At 44.9% G+C, this 17,696-nt stretch overlaps 1 long non-coding RNA gene across 26 annotated transcripts in view, besides 2 other annotated features; it reads left to right on the top strand.

The window, feature by feature from the left end:
- Positions 332-901: an enhancer, noted in NCBI's record as "H3K27ac-H3K4me1 hESC enhancer chr2:314675-315244 (GRCh37/hg19 assembly coordinates)". NCBI's record gives its function as "activates a minimal SCP1, AML or CMV promoter by ChIP-STARR-seq in primed H9 embryonic stem cells {active_cell/tissue: H9 hESC(primed)}" and the evidence as "EXISTENCE:reporter gene assay evidence [ECO:0000049][PMID:30033119]".
- LOC105373346 (uncharacterized) overlaps positions 1,201-17,696 on the top strand; it is a 23,435-nt gene continuing 6,939 nt past the window's right edge. Inside the window, exons 1-6 of one of the 26 annotated variants that reach the window (NR_189069.1) lie at positions 1,201-1,333; positions 2,419-2,619; positions 3,917-4,088; positions 5,183-5,361; positions 6,227-6,606; positions 9,336-9,505. This is a non-coding gene — a long non-coding RNA (uncharacterized LOC105373346). Of the gene's footprint in view, positions 1,334-1,683; positions 1,703-2,418; positions 2,620-3,916; positions 4,089-5,076; positions 5,362-6,168; positions 6,607-9,335; positions 10,992-17,696 lie in introns of those variants that run through there. The other 25 variants (NR_189070.1, NR_189083.1, NR_189078.1 and 22 more) reach the window with 25 other exon arrangements.
- Positions 5,317-6,209: an enhancer, noted in NCBI's record as "NANOG-H3K27ac-H3K4me1 hESC enhancer chr2:309367-310259 (GRCh37/hg19 assembly coordinates)". NCBI's record gives its function as "activates a minimal SCP1, AML or CMV promoter by ChIP-STARR-seq in naive H9 embryonic stem cells {active_cell/tissue: H9 hESC(naive)}" and the evidence as "EXISTENCE:reporter gene assay evidence [ECO:0000049][PMID:30033119]".

Here is a 17,696-nt window from a genome sequence, read left to right as displayed (position 1 = left end):
GGTTTAGTCACCTAAAGCCAGTGAGAGAGGAAGTACAGGCGAGCCCCCAAAGCTCCTGTCCAAATGGACAGAAACCTATTTGTCTTGGTTGCCTCCTGATCCCGGCCTCAAACGGTGCTTTGTAATCTCTGTGTTTTCTTTGGATTCACTGAAGTGGGGGATTGTTACGCATTTGTGAGCTGCACTAAATGCTACCTCTTTCAGTAACAACTCTCCCAGGATTAAAGACGATAAAAAAGCCACTGGCTGGCAAGCCCCCAAGCTGAACACAGACCTAGATGTGTATCACCCTCCCCACAAGTTATTTTTTCCACCGAATTAAATTCCAGATGTTTACAAGCACAGATACCTGTGTTTCTCTGGTCAGAAACGTGATGTGGCCCATTGTGTGGAAGCCCAGAGAGGCGCTCGGAGGCCCCCATATCGTGACGCTAAACGCGGAAATCCAGTGAAATCATCTTTGCGAAAAACTGGCTCACTTTGCTTTTTAAGATGCGGTCGTGAACGGGAGCTAGGGCACCTCCGTTCCCCGCGAACCGAATCCATCTCAGGTCCTTCTAGTCGGCATGGCTGCGTGCCCAAACACACCCAGGGTTAAACTGGGGTTCCGCCGCCTGTCCCGTAATCCCACACGGGGGACTTTACGGAGGGCCCACGCCTGGCCTCCAGTGTCGGTGGAACCAGTCCCACGGCGGCCTCACAGCCCTGCGGCGGGGCCCGCGCCCGGCCTCGGGTCACAAACGCCCGCCCTTCTGCCTGCCCCTCGTCTGGCTCTGCGTTTCTCCTCAGCATGTTGTCACCTGACACGCTGTGGACTCGATTTGATTTGTGCGTCCTCATTCTGTCCTCGCTAGGATGGAGGTTCCACGAGAACAGGGCTTTCCTCTGGCTGCTGACGACGGAGCTCCCGGCACCTGCACGAGTGCGTGGCGCGTGGGAGCAGGTGTGCGCTGAGTGCTCGGTGCAGTTGCTGGCAGCGCGTGCACGTCCGCAGCTGTGAGCGTAGCTCTAGCAGTGTAGACACCTGGGAAAGTCGGGGCCCAATCAGTGAGCTGCTCCTGCCCCTCATCCGCTCCAAATTTTGAGTCTGTGTCACCCACTTTGCAGCTTTTCCATCTACTCTGATAGAATCGTCTCGATAGGACAATGCCTATTCCTGTTCTGAGCCTAAGTTCTATCTCCTGCATGGGTCACAAAGCCGAGCCCCTGGCCACTGAGGCCTCCCCGTTCGCCTCCCAGAGGCCGCCACTTTCTTCAGGGCTATCAGATGAAGGCAGCAACGAAAACACCACCACAAGACCAACTTCAGGCTGGAGCTGATGATGCCACACAGGTGCTCCAGCTCGCCCTGCCCGCTTCACCGCTTTCCCTGCGGGAAAGCCCCAGGCATTCCTGCCCAGTAGTCAGGGCTTTGCTGCAGCCCCGGGGGTGGGGGTAGGGGTGGGGACAGCGAATGCGTTTGTCCACAGACCTTGCTCAGGTCACGTTCTGAGCCTGCTTCTCACTCCTGCCCCCTCCCACCCTCCTGGTTCTGCCATGGACAAGCTGAAGTCTCTCTGAGACCAGGGGACCCGCATGGCCCAGCCACCCCACCCCACCATCTCCCAGGCATGTGAGAAAATATCACATTCTCTGTGTTTTGGAGATTTCTTCTAAATGTATTTTCCAACTATCATTTCATAGCAAATCAGCGAGAAAAAAGGTAAGTATGTGTGTTCACCTGGCCATCTTAAACCAAAGCCACTTAACCACCTCATTTGTTTTTCTAAGTATGTTTTAACACTGCTGTGAACAATTCTCTCTCCTCTTATTCTTTCATTCTCTCTCAGTACACACACACACACACACACCCCTTCCCTACTTATTCTTTCATTCTCTCTCAGGACACACACACACACACACACACCCCTTCCCTACTTATTCTTTCATTCTCTCTCAGGACACACACACGCACACACACCCCTTCCCTACTTATTCTTTCATTCTCTCTCAGGACACACACACACACACACACACACACACACCCCTTCCCTACTTATTCTTTCATTCTCTCTCAGGACACACACACACACACACACACACACACACACACACACACCCCTTCCCTACTGAATAGGATCCCACTGCTATAGGAACAATGTCTTACTCTCTCTGGTATCATTTTTAGTTTGCATAGGACATACCCAGCATGCTTGTTTAAAACATAAAGGGCTCTGGGCCTTTGGCAGTTTGATGCAACTGTCCCAAGCAAGCCTAGAAATCCGCATTGTAAGAGCTCCCAGTTTTTTCTGATGCTAGGAGTTGACAGCACATTTTGCAAAATATGCTAGGGTGTTCTATATAGAAGGCATGCTATAAACATATGTTGCCTTCTTAACATAAAGGAACTAACATTCTTTGTGCCTATTTACAAACAAGAAAATAGACTCTACTTAGAAATGAAACTCAACTAAAGGTAAAAGTTGTCAGGAACATCTCCAAGAAAGCCAGAGTCAGCCTCTAAACTTTGCATCAAGAACGCAATGGCTTCCCTGAGGGCCCAGGGACGCGTGGCAGCTGTGAGGCAGCCCCTTCTCTGCTGTCGAGGAACTGGACACTTCTCCTGTCCCTTCCCACAAGGTGGGTCTCTGCTCACGGCCCCTCCTTGGGGGCTATCCTGGGTGGGGGAGGTCATAAGCCTACCCGCTGCATGGGGAAAGCCTGAGAGCTGGGAGAGAAGTCAACAATAGTTAACAGCCTCTGTAACAACAGTCCAGCACCACAGTGTACAGTAAACTTAGAAATTCAACTCCAGTGAAATCTTCTTTACTTTATGGAAATCATAGACCACTTAATATGATTGAAATACATTCAAGATGGTTGTAGTCACTGGTTTCCCAAAAAGGATGTAGTTATCCAATATTTCATATGTATTCATAGTCGGAAACATGTCAGGCAACAGAAAGCAACTGGCCAAGTGCTGCATGCATGTCAGCATAGCAGAAAAATCAGGCCAACAAATCACTGTGACTCTTTGCTGCCAAACCACAGCTAAAGGTGTTCGTCAGCACCACAGGCCCCCTCTCAGTGGAGCTGAAGGCAGCAGAACACTTTGGGTGGGTAGAACTTTGATACAAATGTAAATAACTTTTACAATCTCTTTTGGGAAGCATACTTTCTTTTGTGGTTATAATACATCCAGGTCATTAACAGCCATGAGACTTCTATTACAATACATAAATGTAAGTGGAGAGGCCGAACAAACGCGTCCAGGCACAGAGTCCTGGGAACTCAGGAAAGCAAGTCACTCTGGAGGATGGGGGTCATGATTATTTAATTTAAAATATGTAGATGTTAAGTAGAGTCATCTAACTCCCTGTTCAGGTGGAGGTTTTAAATCGCAGGCCTGGGGCTCTAATGTTTGATCTGATGTGGACGGTGTTGACAGGTAACAGCAGATCAATTCTTAAGACTAACATTGACTATTTCTAATCCACTTTAAGGAAAACTTGCCATTCTCTCATCACCTTTACGAGGTGGGTAGTATTTCTGATGAGAACAAAATGCTTAATGAAATTGGGAAGTAAGCAGTGCCTCAGCCCCAAGCCTCTGACATCATCACCTTTCCAAGGGAATCCATTCACTGTGTAAAACCCACAGAATTACACCACCTCCATTATTAGTGAGATTAATTAATGCCCTTTTCATTTTATTATTTTGATATTTTTATGAAACTGTTTAAGGAGACATGTTAGCCTCTAGAGGAGAAAAATCGTGTACATCAGAGGCGTGTTCTTGAATTAAACGGTCAATCTCATTCAACATGGATTTCCAATCAAATTCTGAGTCACAAGGAGAAATACTGATCTCTGGATAAGTTAGAATGTGCAGAAGAAATGCTTGGGCAAAATAGATGAGTTTTGTTCTGTTAAACTAGATATAAAAGATTCAGGACGTAGTGCTCGTGGTTGGGGTCGGGGACATGGCAAGACAGGAGCGGAAGAGAGAGACGGAGAAGACGCAGGGGAACTGCATCTGCCTCTGCTGCTCAGGAACAGCGTTGAGACCGGCGCAGGGACCATGGGTGGGAGAGTCCTGATGTACTCAATGTAAATACAAATTGTGTTTCTTTTACAGTGAAAACGTATTCTTCATGTTACTGGTGTTATTTACCAACATACAAAAGTAAATACTATATCATGCTGTGTTCTCTTAGGCATATCTCTGTGAAGGCCAGCCACCGACACAGCACAATAAGTAACTGTATACACTGGAAAAAATACTCAGGAGGGGAAGACATGCTACGTTAAGCAGAGCAATGGCTGACTGTAAAATCCCCAGATCGAAGTCTCATGGTCAGCAGAAAGAGTAGAACTTAATGCTAATTAAAGCTTCATTTAACAGGAAGGATAAGTTAACAAGTGGTCACCATAGCAACAGAAGGAGCTAAGGGTGTCTGCGTCCCCACACTGCACACCTGTGCATCACTTTATCTTCACAATCCATTGCACAGACCCTTACCTGACAGCACGTTGCCCTCTCTCAAATGGGTGGGATCATAGTGGAACAAAGCATTTTATAGATTATATTAAGAAGTAAACTCAGAAAATACTATGTTCATAGAAGACAGTTCAATGGACTGCCGATTTCAAACTCATGCACTTCACGGCCCATTGATGGTGGGCACCGTGGGGTGAATTTACTCCTGTTTGGCAGCCTTGGCTTCTCAGCTGCTCAAGCTCCGGAGCCCCATTCACAGCTTTCAGGGCTCACCTGTGGGGACTCTGGACTTCACCTTTCCTTCTGCAGCTTTTCTGGAAGGCCAGAAACACCACCTGGGCCCCTCCTCCATCTTTACCCGGCTGGTCCCCCAAAAGCATCGTTATCCACTCAGCTGTCCCAGCCTCCTTCTTTTATAAAATAGGCCTTTTTACCATCTTGTTTGCATAGTTACCTTTAAAAGCCAGCATAAAAAACAAAAGCCTTGATTCTGCTGCTTAGTAAAAGGTGCCATCTTAAGTAATTTAACTTCTCTGAGAGCATAAGAATAAATCAGTGAATATTTTTTTAAGCAGTGAAACGCTTTTTTTTTCCTAGGTATAATATTAGGCAGAAACCCAATATAAAAAGAAAAGCAGAGTTGTTGTAGATTCATCGAGGGTTGGCGACCTGGTTCCAATGAGCCATCTCCCTGTTCCGACAGGGGCTTCCTGGAGCTCCTGCAACCCCAGGCATTAGTTCCGGTGCAGTTCTAGGATCAGATCAATTCACTCGACAACAAGAGAAACAAATGGAGATTCCTACACAAAGACTTTCAAGCACAAAGAAATCCTGCTGCCTGTAAAGCGGAGCTGCCTCAGCCCTTGATGAACGACAGAAAATGTAAGAGTAGTTGTCATTTTCATAAGCAGTAACCCAGATTCATATTCATGGAAAAGATAAGAGTAAGTTGTCATTTTCACAGGCAGTAACCCAGATTCATACTTGCAGCAGCAGCGCTAAGTCACATGAATTGATTGAGCAGTCGGTGGGTTCACTGATGGGTTAAATTCGTGTATATTAGGGTTGAGTTTGGTAATATGTACCAGAAAACCAACTTGCAGTGGCTTGACCAAATCAATAATTATCTTTTGCATAAAATCAGCAGCCCACAATTAGGCAAGGCAGACTGAAACAGCAGCTCCACAATTCATTCAAGTCCCAACGTTTTTCTGCTTCATACACCCTGGGTTTAGCTTTTGTCTTAATGGTTTTAAAGTGGCTCTGATTTGTGTGATAAGAGATCGTGTGTGCAGCTGCCCAAAGACCACCCTCACAATTAGGCTTCGGTGAGTAAGGAGGCAAGGGCTACCTGCAGGCAGGTGTGCTGAACAGCTGTGTGACCACAGTCAGGCCCACATCCCCTGGGGCGCTCCTGTGGGCTAAACAGGTCCCCAAACCTTGCCGCCTGTTCTCACTGCTCCCTGGAGAGCCACCCCAGCACACTGTCTCCACACTGGAGATCACCCCTCCTGGCCATTCCCTCCCTCACCCCTTCTGGTCTGGAAGTGGGTGGGGCCCCTGGGTGTTACAACAGCTCTGTTTCCCTATAGCCTGTCCCTCCACTCTGTAGACGACGACATCACCAGCCCCTCCCCTGAGTATTCTGGCAACAAAGGAGCCAGCAGACAAACCGCTTCTCTTCCACAGACCACCTACTGCCAGACCTCAACGCCTCACAAAACTCTCACCCACCTACTGCTTTTAGCTCACATTCCAGGAATTCAGATGAAGTGAAGTGCTCTCATGGGGACCAGGCATGGTTATGCCAGTCCACTGCCCTGCAAGCCTCAAGGGAAGCCAACTGCCCTTCAGCAAGTCACACCTGCCTTGGTGGAGGCCTTGATTGGAAGTGCCACACGCTACATGTCCAGTCCTGAGCGGGAGAATCGGTGTAGGGACGTTCTGGGGATGCCAGCTGTGGCCAGATCAGGTCCAACTACAGAAGAATAATGAAGACTCCACCTGAGGGCTGGAAAAACAAAACCTCAAGTGTGAGGCAGCCAACCTGTTACCTCGAGGGACTGTTCCGCAGCACAGCGGGGCCATGGGAACAGCAGCAGACACCCCGACCTCCTCGCTACCTGTGTGTGTATTAACACGCCGGCCTCCTCGCTACCTGTGTGTGTATTAACACGCCGGCCTCCTCGCTCCCTGTGTGTGTATTAACACCCCGGCCTCCTCGCTCCCTGTGTGTGTATTAACACGCCGGCCTCCTCGCTACCTGTGTGTGTATTAACATCCCGGCCTCCTCGCTACCTGTGTGTGTATTAACGCCCCGGCCTCCTCGCTACCTGTGTGTGTATTAACACGCCGGCCTCCTCACTACCTGTGTGTGTATTAACACGCCGGCCTCCTCACTACCTGTGTGTGTATTAACACGCCGGCCTCCTCGCTACCTGTGTGTGTATTAACACCCCGGCCTCCTCGCTACCTGTGTGTGTATTAGACACCCCGGCCTCCTCACTACCTGTGTGTGTATTAACACGCCGGCCTCCTCACTACCTGTGTGTGTATTAACACCCCGGCCTCCTCACTACCTGTGTGTGTATTAACACCCCGGCCTCCTCACTACCTGTGTGTGTATTAACACCCCGGCCTCCTCACTACCTGTGTGTGTATTAACACCCCGGCCTCCTCACTACCTGTGTGTGTATTAACACGCCGGCCTCCTCGCTACCTGTGTGTGTATTAACACCCCGGCCTCCTCGCTACCTGTGTGTGTATTAGACACCCCGGCCTCCTCACTACCTGTGTGTGTATTAACACGCCGGCCTCCTCACTACCTGTGTGTGTATTAACACGCCGGCCTCCTCGCTACCTGTGTGTGTATTAACACCCCGGCCTCCTCACTACCTGTGTGTGTATTAACACGCCGGCCTCCTCACTCACCTGTGTGTGTATTAACACGCCGGCCTCCTCGCTACCTGTGTGTGTATTAACACCCCGGCCTCCTCGCTACCTGTGTGTGTATTAGACACCCCGGCCTCCTCACTACCTGTGTGTGTATTAACACGCCGGCCTCCTCACTACCTGTGTGTGTATTAACACCCCGGCCTCCTCACTACCTGTGTGTGTATTAACACGCCGGCCTCCTCGCTACCTGTGTGTGTATTAACACCCCGGCCTCCTCACTACCTGTGTGTGTATTAACACCCCGGCCTCCTCGCTACCTGTGTGTGTATTAACACCCCGGCCTCCTCACTACCTGTGTGTGTATTAACACCCCGGCCTCCTCACTACCTGTGTGTGTATTAACACGCCGGCCTCCTCACTACCTGTGTGTGTATTAACACGCCGGCCTCCTCGCTACCTGTGTGTGTATTAACACCCCGGCCTCCTCGCTACCTGTGTGTGTATTAACACCCCGGCCTCCTCGCTACCTGTGTGTGTATTAACACCCCGGCCTCCTCATTACCTGTGTGTGTATTAACACCCCGGCCTCCTCGCTACCTGTGTGTGTATTAACACCCCGGCCTCCTCATTACCTGTGTGTGTATTAACACCCCGGCCTCCTCACTACCTGTGTGTGTATTAACACCCCGACCTCCTTACTACCTGTGTGTGTATTAACACGCCGGCCTCCTCACTACCTGTGTGTGTATTAACACGCCGGCCTCCTCACTACCTGTGTGTGTATTAACACCCCGGCCTCCTCATTACCTGTGTGTGTATTAACACCCCGGCCTCCTCACTACCTGTGTGTGTATTAACACGCCGGCCTCCTCACTACCTGTGTGTGTATTAACACCCCGGCCTCCTCGCTACCTGTGTGTGTATTAACACCCCGGCCTCCTCACTACCTGTGTGTGTATTAACACCCCGGCCTCCTCATTACCTGTGTGTGTATTAACACCCCGGCCTCCTCACTACCTGTGTGTGTATTAACACGCCGGCCTCCTCACTACCTGTGTGTGTATTAACACGCCGGCCTCCTCGCTACCTGTGTGTGTATTAACGCCCCGGCCTCCTCGCTACCTGTGTGTGTATTAGACACCCGGGCCTCCTCGCTGCCTGTGTGTGTATTAACACCCCGGCCTCCTCGCTACCTGTGTGTGTATTAACGCCCCGGCCTCCTCGCTACCTGTGTGTGTATTAACGCCCCGGCCTCCTCGCTACCTGTGTGTGTATTAACGCCCCGGCCTCCTCGCTACCTGTGTGTGTATTAACGCCCCGGCCTCCTCGCTACCTGTGTGTGTATTAACGCCCCGGCCTCCTCACTACCTGTGTGTGTATTAACACGCCGGCCTCCTCACTACCTGTGTGTGTATTAACACCCCGGCCTCCTCGCTGCCTGTGTGTGTATTAACACCCCGGCCTCCTCGCTACCTGTGTGTGTATTAACACCCCGGCCTCCTCGCTACCTGTGTATTAACACGCCGGCCTCCTCACTACCTGTGTGTGTATTAATGCCCCGGCCTCCTCACTACCTGTGTGTGTATTAACACCCCGGCCTCCTCGCTACCTGTGTGTGTATTAACACCCCGGCCTCCTCGCTACCTGTGTGTGTATTAACACCCCGGCCTCCTCGCTGCCTGTGTGTGTATTAACACGCCGGCCTCCTCACTACCTGTGTGTGTATTAACACGCCGGCCTCCTCATTACCTGTGGGTGTATTAACACCCCGGCTTTCTCACCAACTGTGTGTGTATTAACACCCCGGCCTGCTCACTATTGTGTGTATTAACACCCCGGCCTCCTCGCTACCTGCGTGTATTAGACACATGTGCTTTATACATGTCTACTTTAAGCCACCTTTGAATTTCCTGTTACTTGTCACCAAAATCATTGCTAAATCTTTCCATTTCAACTTTCAGATCAACTATGGCCTGAGTATGATAGACTTATCCATGGTTTAAACAGAATATATTGTTTTCAACTTTGAAAATAAGAATATGGAAATCCAGATGCAGAAATGTGAGAAGAAAAGAGAGTAAACAGAGTGGAAGGTCAGGTGACCTTGCCTGTCATGAATATGAAGGTCAAGGTGTGTGAATTGTGAAATTTCCAAGAGAACCTCACTGAAGCAAAGAATGAAGAAAGAATTGCATTTGGCCCTGGGAGGGTGCAGGGGTGAATGGTGCAGGAGCTAAATCTTTATCATACCCAGAAATCAACAGCCACTATTTGAAATCATCTAAATTCGTGCTGCTAACCTTCAGTGTACACACGAATCACCTGGGGATCTTACTAAAAGCTAGTTTCTGATTCACTAAATCTGTGTGTGGTGGAAGTTGAGGGCAGAGAAGCTCCCGAGGGTGTCAAGCTGACTCTGAACCCGACTTTGAGGGTTAAGGTCCCAAATGGCATCGCCAGCACCAGGGACAGACACTAAAATTGTAGAAATCGTCTCAAGAAATGAACAGCCTCTAAGTCAGATGTTGAATGTGAAAGAAATCAGGGTGTGTACGTGTGTGTGCATTTGTGTGTGCACGTGTGTGCCTGTGTTTGTCTCTGTGCATGTATGTTTCTATGTGTGCACATGTGTGTATGTGTCTGTACATGTGTGTTTCTGTGTGTGTGCCTGTGTGTGTATTGGCTTAGATCTGTTCGAGACTTTTTATTTGATGAGATCGATATATGCCACCACTTTTGGAAAGGACAACGTATATACAAAGACAATGATTACTTATGTAATGTGAACGGAGTCTCTCTTCGACCCTCAAATGTTTTGTAGAAAGTAATGATGATGGTGAGGATTATAACAATGCGTGTTTCCTGAATAACAAAAAGGAGTTACAGTACACTTTTACCTATTTTTCCAAAGCGCTAGGTCAAGTTTAGCTAAAGTCTGCTTGGAATTAATGAGGCTTGGAAATGTAAAATCTCAGAGCAGTAAACATCTCTTTGTCCTAATGTTCTTATGTAGCCATTAAAACTTAAATATTAATACTAAAATAACTACTGTAAAATAAAGTAAAAATGTACGAGAATAATCAAAATAATTCTGAAACACCCACAAATGCTTTTGAAACTCCATTTCTACACAGTGACATAAAGAAAAAATTTAGATGTACCCAAGAAATAATGAATAGTGATTTTCCTTACGAAGTGCTGATTTCTTTAAAAATAAATAGACAACAGGTTCTTTAAATAACAAACATCCTTAGCACATGTGAGGTTCAATTCAACTTAAATTTCACCTACATTTCTCAGGGACACACATAAGTAATTATGAGCATGTCTTCAGGGTCAACTCTGGAGAAATGCTTTGTAAAGGGTCCAGCCAGTCGCTCAGGAGGGATTTCTCAGGGGCACCAAACACTGGGAAGCATCAGGATGATGAATCCTGTGTTTCATTTTACGTCCAAATGCTCTTGCCTCATGTGGCATAGACAATGGTATTGTATATAACAGTTTCTCAGAACTGACTGCATTTTAAAAGAAGGAGGAAATTATAATTACTAAACCCTTGCATATGGGACTATTTTTCATAAATCTGTTAATCATAAGGGTTCAAATAAAAGCCAAAAATGTAATGAGCTCTTTCCCTTCTTGTACATACAAGTTATACTAATATAGGAAATAAGCTGGGCCCAATGAAAGCTACAACTTTAGAGTTTTATAAATTTGTTTCCACTTTTGTCTATGACTCTGTGATTGCAATCTGCTGACAATAAGAACGGAACTTCTTCCTATGTTTTTATGCACATGAAACTCACCATTAGAAACATTCATTAAGGTTTGAATAAGGACAAATCACAAGCATTAAGAAGAGCTGTCAACCATTTTAAACAGCCATCAACTAATTTTGGCAAAAACAGTCCCTTGAGAACTGTTTATTTTTAATACTTCAACTAGAAATGGCTTTAACATGACACCCTTCAGTGCCAGGTGTCATTTCAGTCTGGACCTTCACTGGATTGGCCACATCTGCGTTAATGTCATGGTTATTGGTGGCATTGAGTAAGGGCCCTACCTAAAGAAATCAGTATCAAAGGTGCTGAATAGTGCAAGCCACATTTACTTTCTGCTATACAAATACTATTTTATAATATAAATGCAATATAAGATCAATTACTAAAATGTGCCAAGCAGTTAAAATATATCTTAATCTTAGTAAAGTTATATCAATTTAAAGATACAGGCTTTACAATAAAATGTCCCTTTTAAAGGTGGAATCTCTTCTCCAACTTAAATGTTCCCACTTTGGGGAAAGCAATAATCACTCACTGCCATCTGTCAACACCCCACTCATGCCAGATATTGTTCAAATCTCAATGTAATGATGCTAGAGCTGACCATTATTATTCGTAGTATGAAAATTTTCTAATGTCTATTTTTTAATGTGAAATAATGATTACATATAAAATAAAAGCAATATCCAGGCTCACCTTGGAGATTGTGCAGGCTCAGTTCCAGGTCATCCCAATAAAGAGATATAGCAATAACATAAGTCACCCAAATACTTTGGTTTCCCAATGCATACAAAAGTGATATTTACACTATAATGTGGTCTATTAAGTACACAATAGTATTATGTCTAAAAAAAGTATAAACATTAATTTTAAAATGTATTGCTAAAAATGCTAACAATGCCTTCAGTGAGTCATAATCTTTTTGCTGGTGGAGGTCTCCTCCACGTAGATGGCTGATGAATGATCCGGGTGGTTGGGGTGGTGGTGGCAATTTCTGAAAATAAGACAAGAATAAAGTCTGTTGCATAGATCGACTCTTTTTCTTTTTTCATAGACGATTTCTCGGTAGCATGTGATTCTGGTTGATATAATTTTACCCAGAGTAGAACTTATTTCAAAATTGGAGTCCATGCTCTCAAAACCCTGCCACTGCTTTATCAACTAAGGTTATAAAATACTCTAAATCCTTGGTGATCATTTCAACAATGTTCACAGCATCTTCACCAGAAGCACATTCTACCCCAAGAAACCAGGTTCTCTGCACATCCATAAGAAGCAACCGATCACCAGTTAAAGTTCTATCATGAGATTGAAGCAATTCAGTTCCATCTTCAGGCTCCACTTCTAATTCTAGTTCTCTTGCTATTTTCATAACATCTGGTTACTTCTTCCATTGAAGTCTTGAACCCCTCAAAATCACCCATGAAAGTTAGAACCAACTTCTTCCAAAGTCTTGTTCATGTTGATATTTTGACCTCCTCACATGAATCATAAATGTTCTGAATGGCATCTAGAATGGTGAATTCTTTCCAGAAGGTTTTCAATTTACTTTGCCCAGCTCCATCAGAGGAACAACTATCTATGGTAGACATGGCCTAGTAAAATATATTTCTTAAATAATAAGACTTGAAAGTCAAAATTGCTCCTTGATCCATGGACTGCAGAGTGGACGTTGTCTTAGTAGGCATGAAAAAAATGTCTGTCTTCTTGTACATCCCCATCAGAGCTCATGAGGGACCAGGTGCATTGTCAATGAGCATTAATAGTTTGAAAGGAATCTTTCTGTCTCAGCAGTAGATCTCAACAGTAGGCTGAAAATACTCACTAAACCATGCTGTAAGCAGAAGAGCTGTCATCAGGTGTGTCGTTTTATTTATAAAGCACAGGCAGAGCAGACTTAGCATCATTCTTACAGGCCCTGAGATTTTGGGAATGGTAAATCTTCACAGGCTTCAACTTAAAGTCACCAACTCTGTTAACCCCTAACAAGAGAGGCAATCTTTCCTTTAAGCTTTGAAGCCAGGCATTGACTTCTCCTCCCTAGCTATGAAAGTCCTAGATGGCATCTTCTTCCAATAGAAGATTGTTTTGTCCATATGAGAAATCTGTTGTTTAGCATCACTACCTTCATCAGTGATCTCAGCTGGATCCTCTGGAGAACTTGCTGCAGCTTCTCCATCAGCACTTGCTCCTTCACCTTGCACTTCTATGTTATAGAGATGGTTTCTTGCTTCTTTCCTTAAACCTCAGGAATAAACCTCTGCTAGTTCCACACCTTCCTTATGCAGCTTCTTCACCTCTCTCAGCCTTCACAGAAATGAAAAGAATTAGAGGCCTTGCTCTGGATGAGGCTTTGGCTGAAGGGAGTGTTGTGGCTGGTTTGATCTTCTGTCCAGGCCACTCAAACTTTCCCCATAGCAGTAATCCGGCTGTTTTGCTTTCTTGCCATTCATGTGTTCACTGGAGTAGCACTCTCAATCTCTTTCAAGAACTTTTCCTTGCACTCACAACTTAGCTAACTGGTGCAAGAAGCCCAGCTCTGAACCTATCTTGGCTTTTGACCTGCCTTCCTCACTAAGCTTAATCATTTCTAGCTTATGATTTAAAGTGACAGACATAAGACTCTTCCTTCCACCGAAATATTTAGAGGTCATTGCAGGGTTATCAATTGGCCTAATCTTAGGCTGGGTGTGGTAGCTCATGCCTGTAACCCCAGCACTTTGGGAGGCATAGGCGGGTGGATTGCTTGACGTCAGGAGTTCGAAACCAGCCTGGCCAACATAGTGAAACCCTGTCTCTACTAAAAATACAAAAATTGGTTGGGCAGGGTGGTACATGCCTGTAATCCCAGCTACTTGGGAGGCTGATGTAGGAGAATCACTTGAACCTGGGAGTTGGAGGTTGCAGTGAGCCAAGATTGTGCCACTGCACTCTATCCTGGATGACAGAGCAAGACTCAGTCAAAAAAAAAAAAAAAAAAAAAAAAAAAAAAGAAAAAGAAAAAGAAAAGAAAAATGACCTAATCTTAATCTTGCTGTGTTTGTGGGAATCAGGAGGCCTGAAGAGAGGGGAGAGAGACAAGGAAATGGTTATTCATTGGAGCAATCAGAACACACACAACATTTATCAGTTAAATTCGCAATCTTATATGGGCATAGTTCATTGTGCCCCAAAACAGTTACAATAGTAACATCAAAGATCACTGATCATAGATCACCATAACACACATAATAAAAATGAAAACGTTTGAAATATTGCAAGAATTCCCAAAATGTGACACAGAGATGTGAAGTGAGCACATGCTGTGGACAAATGGTGCTGATGGACTCACTGGATGCAGGGTGGCCACAAGCCCTTGATTTGTTAGAGGGACACTGTCTGTGAAGCACAATAAGGCAAGATGTGGGAAACGGTGAGCACCTGTCGTACGTCAGCACGGCAAGGAAGGTTAACTCCTAACGAGGGCATGTCATGTCCCACTCAGGAGCCCAGCGTCAATGTGCAGACAGCAGGAACCAGGAGATCCTCAGGCCACTGCACATCTTCTGAAAGGCTTTGAAAAGGATCAAAGGGCATAATAGCTGCCATATTATTGTGGTAATTCGTTCATAGATGGGGAAAAAAGGTAGATATAAAATGAATATTTTCTGAGCATCTAAGAGGATATGGGTGGTGACAATGCACACACTGATGGAGGTTTTATTTATTTATTTATGTCTTTCATGAGGTTGACTTTTTTTATTACACTTTAAGTTCTGGGGTACATGCGCACAACGTGCAGGTTTGTTACATAGGTGTACATGTGCCATGTTGGTTTCCTGCACCCATCAACTCATCATTTACATTAGGTATTTCTCCTAATGTTATCCCTCCCCCAGCCTCCCACCACCCCCGACAGGCCCCAGTGTGTGATGTTCTCCTCCCTCTGTCCATGTGTTCTCATTGTTCAACTCCCACTTATGAGCGAGAACATGCAGTGAGTGAGAACATGAGGTGTGTGGTTTTCTGTCCTTGTGATAGTTTGCTGAGAATGATGGTTTCCAGCTTCATCCATGTTCTTGCAAAGGACATGAACTCGTCCTTTTTTATGGCTGCATAATATTCCATGGTGTATATGTGCCACATTTTCTTTATGCAGTCTATTATTGATGGACATTTGGGTTGGTTTCAAGTCTTTGCTATTGTCAATAGTGTCACAATAAACATACATGTGCATGTGTCTTTATAGTAGCATGATTTATAATCATTTGGGTATATACCCAGTAATGGGATTGCTGGGTCAAATGGTATTTCTAGTTCCAGATCCTTGAGGAATCGCCACACTGTCTTCCATAATGGTTGAATAATTTACACTCCCACCAACAGTGTAAAAGCATTCCTATTTTTCCACATCCTCTCCAGCATCTGTTGCTTCCTGACTTTTTAATGATCACCATTCTAACTGGCATGAGATGGTATTTCATTGTGGTTTTGATTTGCATTTCCCTAATGACCAGTGATGATGAGCATTTTTTCATATGCCTGTTGGCTGCATAAATGTCTTCTTTTGAGAAGTGTCTGTTCATATACTTTGCCCACTTTTTGATGGGGTTGTTTTTTTCTTGTAAATTTGTTTAAGTTCTTTGTTGATTCTGGATATTAGCCCTTTGTCAGATGAATAGATTGCAAAAATTTTCTCCCATTCTGTAGGTTGCCTGTTCACTCTGCTGATAGTTTCTTTTGCTGTGCAGAAGCTCTTTAGTTTAACTAGATCCCATTTGTCTATTTTGGCTTTTGTTGCCATTGCTTTTGGTGTTTTAATCATGAAGTCTTTGCCCATGCCTATGAACTGAATGGTATTGCCTCGGTTTTCTTCTAAGGTTTTTATGGTTTTAGGTCTTACATTTAAGTCTTTAATCCATCTTGAGTTAATTTTTGTATAAGGTGTAAGGAAGGGGTCTAGTTTCAGCTTTCTACATATGGCTAGCTAGTTTCCCCAGCACCATTTATTAAATAGGGAATCCTTTTCCCTATTTAATAAATCCTTTTCCCATTGCTTGTTTTTGTCAGGTTTGTCAAAGATCAGATGGTTGTAGATGTGTGGTGTTATTTCTGAGGCCTCTGTTCTGTTCCATTGGTCTATATATCTGTTTTGGTACCAGTATCAAAACTATTGGTACCAGTACCATACTGTTTTGGTTACTGTAGCCTTGTAGTATAGTTTGAAGTCAGGTAACATGATGCCTCCAGCTTTGTTCTTTTTGCTTAGGATTGTCTTGCCCATGCGGGCTCCTTTTTGGTTCCATATGAAATTTAAATTAGTTTTTTCCTATTCTTTGAAGAAAGTCAATGGTAGCTTGGTGAGGATAGCACTGAATCTATAAATTACTTTGGGCAGTATGGCTATTTTCATGATATTGATTCTTTCTAACATAACATGAGCATGAAATATTCTTCCATTTGTTTGTGTCCTCTTTTTTTTGTTGTTGAGCAATGGTTTGTAGTTCTCCTTGAAGAGGTCCTTCACATCCCTTGTAAGTTGGATTCCTAGGTATTTTATTCTCTTTGTGCCAGTTGTGAATGGGAGTTCACTCATGATTCGGCTCTCTGTTTGTCTGTTATTGGTGTATAGGAATGCTTGTGATTTTTGCACATTGATTTTGTATCCTGAGACTGCTGAAGTTGCTATCAGCTTAAGGAGATTTTGGGCTGAGACTATGGGGTTTTCTAAATATACAATCATGTCAATGACAGAAGTTTTAAACCTGCGAGCTGGGGGAGGGACTGCGCCGCTGAAAGCCAGGCCTGTTGATGGTGTCAGCACAGCAGAAATACTGCCAATGCTCCCTCAAAACTGTAAAGAAAGGTGAATTTCCATTTGAACATATATAGAGAGAAATACATGAACTACATCTGATGTATTGTATTGATTTCTGTCCATTCAGCAGCACAGCCTGGGAGTCACTACTGATGGGGGCCCCAGATTCTGTGAAAGCAGAGATGACAACTAAATGGGACCCAAATTCCTGAGTGGTGGCATATGCATTGTGACACTCTGAATGAAGTTGTAATCGCTACTTCACCATGACAGGTTCTAAGACAACAAAAACACAAAATGTTACCACATAAACACAGTCCCCGAGACATAGGATTCTTAAAGGAAAACCAGGAATGTATTTGGTCAAAGTCAACTAAATTATGAACAGTATGAAAAAAAAACATAGCCAGCTGCTTAGTTTATAGAGAAAGTTTATATTTACTAATTTATTCAATACTTTAAAAAGACCTACACACTATAAAGAAAGGGAGAGCAGCCCCACTTTGCTCATGAGGAGATTAAAACCCCAGAGCCTCAGGGACTGGCTGTGGCCACAATGAGTGTCGGAGTAGGAATCAAAATCAGCTGCCCTGGCTGGTCTTCTCTGACTCAAAGCCTTTCCTTAACTCTTACACATGACTGGTGGGAGTGTAAACTGGTACAGCCACTAAAAAGCTAAAACTGAGAACAGAGCCTCCATATGATCCAACAATCCTCCTACTGAATATTTATCAAAGGGGAGG

Source organism: Homo sapiens, chromosome 2, assembly GCF_000001405.40.
Source record: "Homo sapiens chromosome 2, GRCh38.p14 Primary Assembly".
NCBI classification, from domain to species: Eukaryota; Metazoa; Chordata; class Mammalia; order Primates; family Hominidae; genus Homo; species Homo sapiens.
The sequence above is the reverse complement of the archived record's forward strand: the minus strand, read 5'-3'. Positions and strand labels throughout refer to the sequence as shown.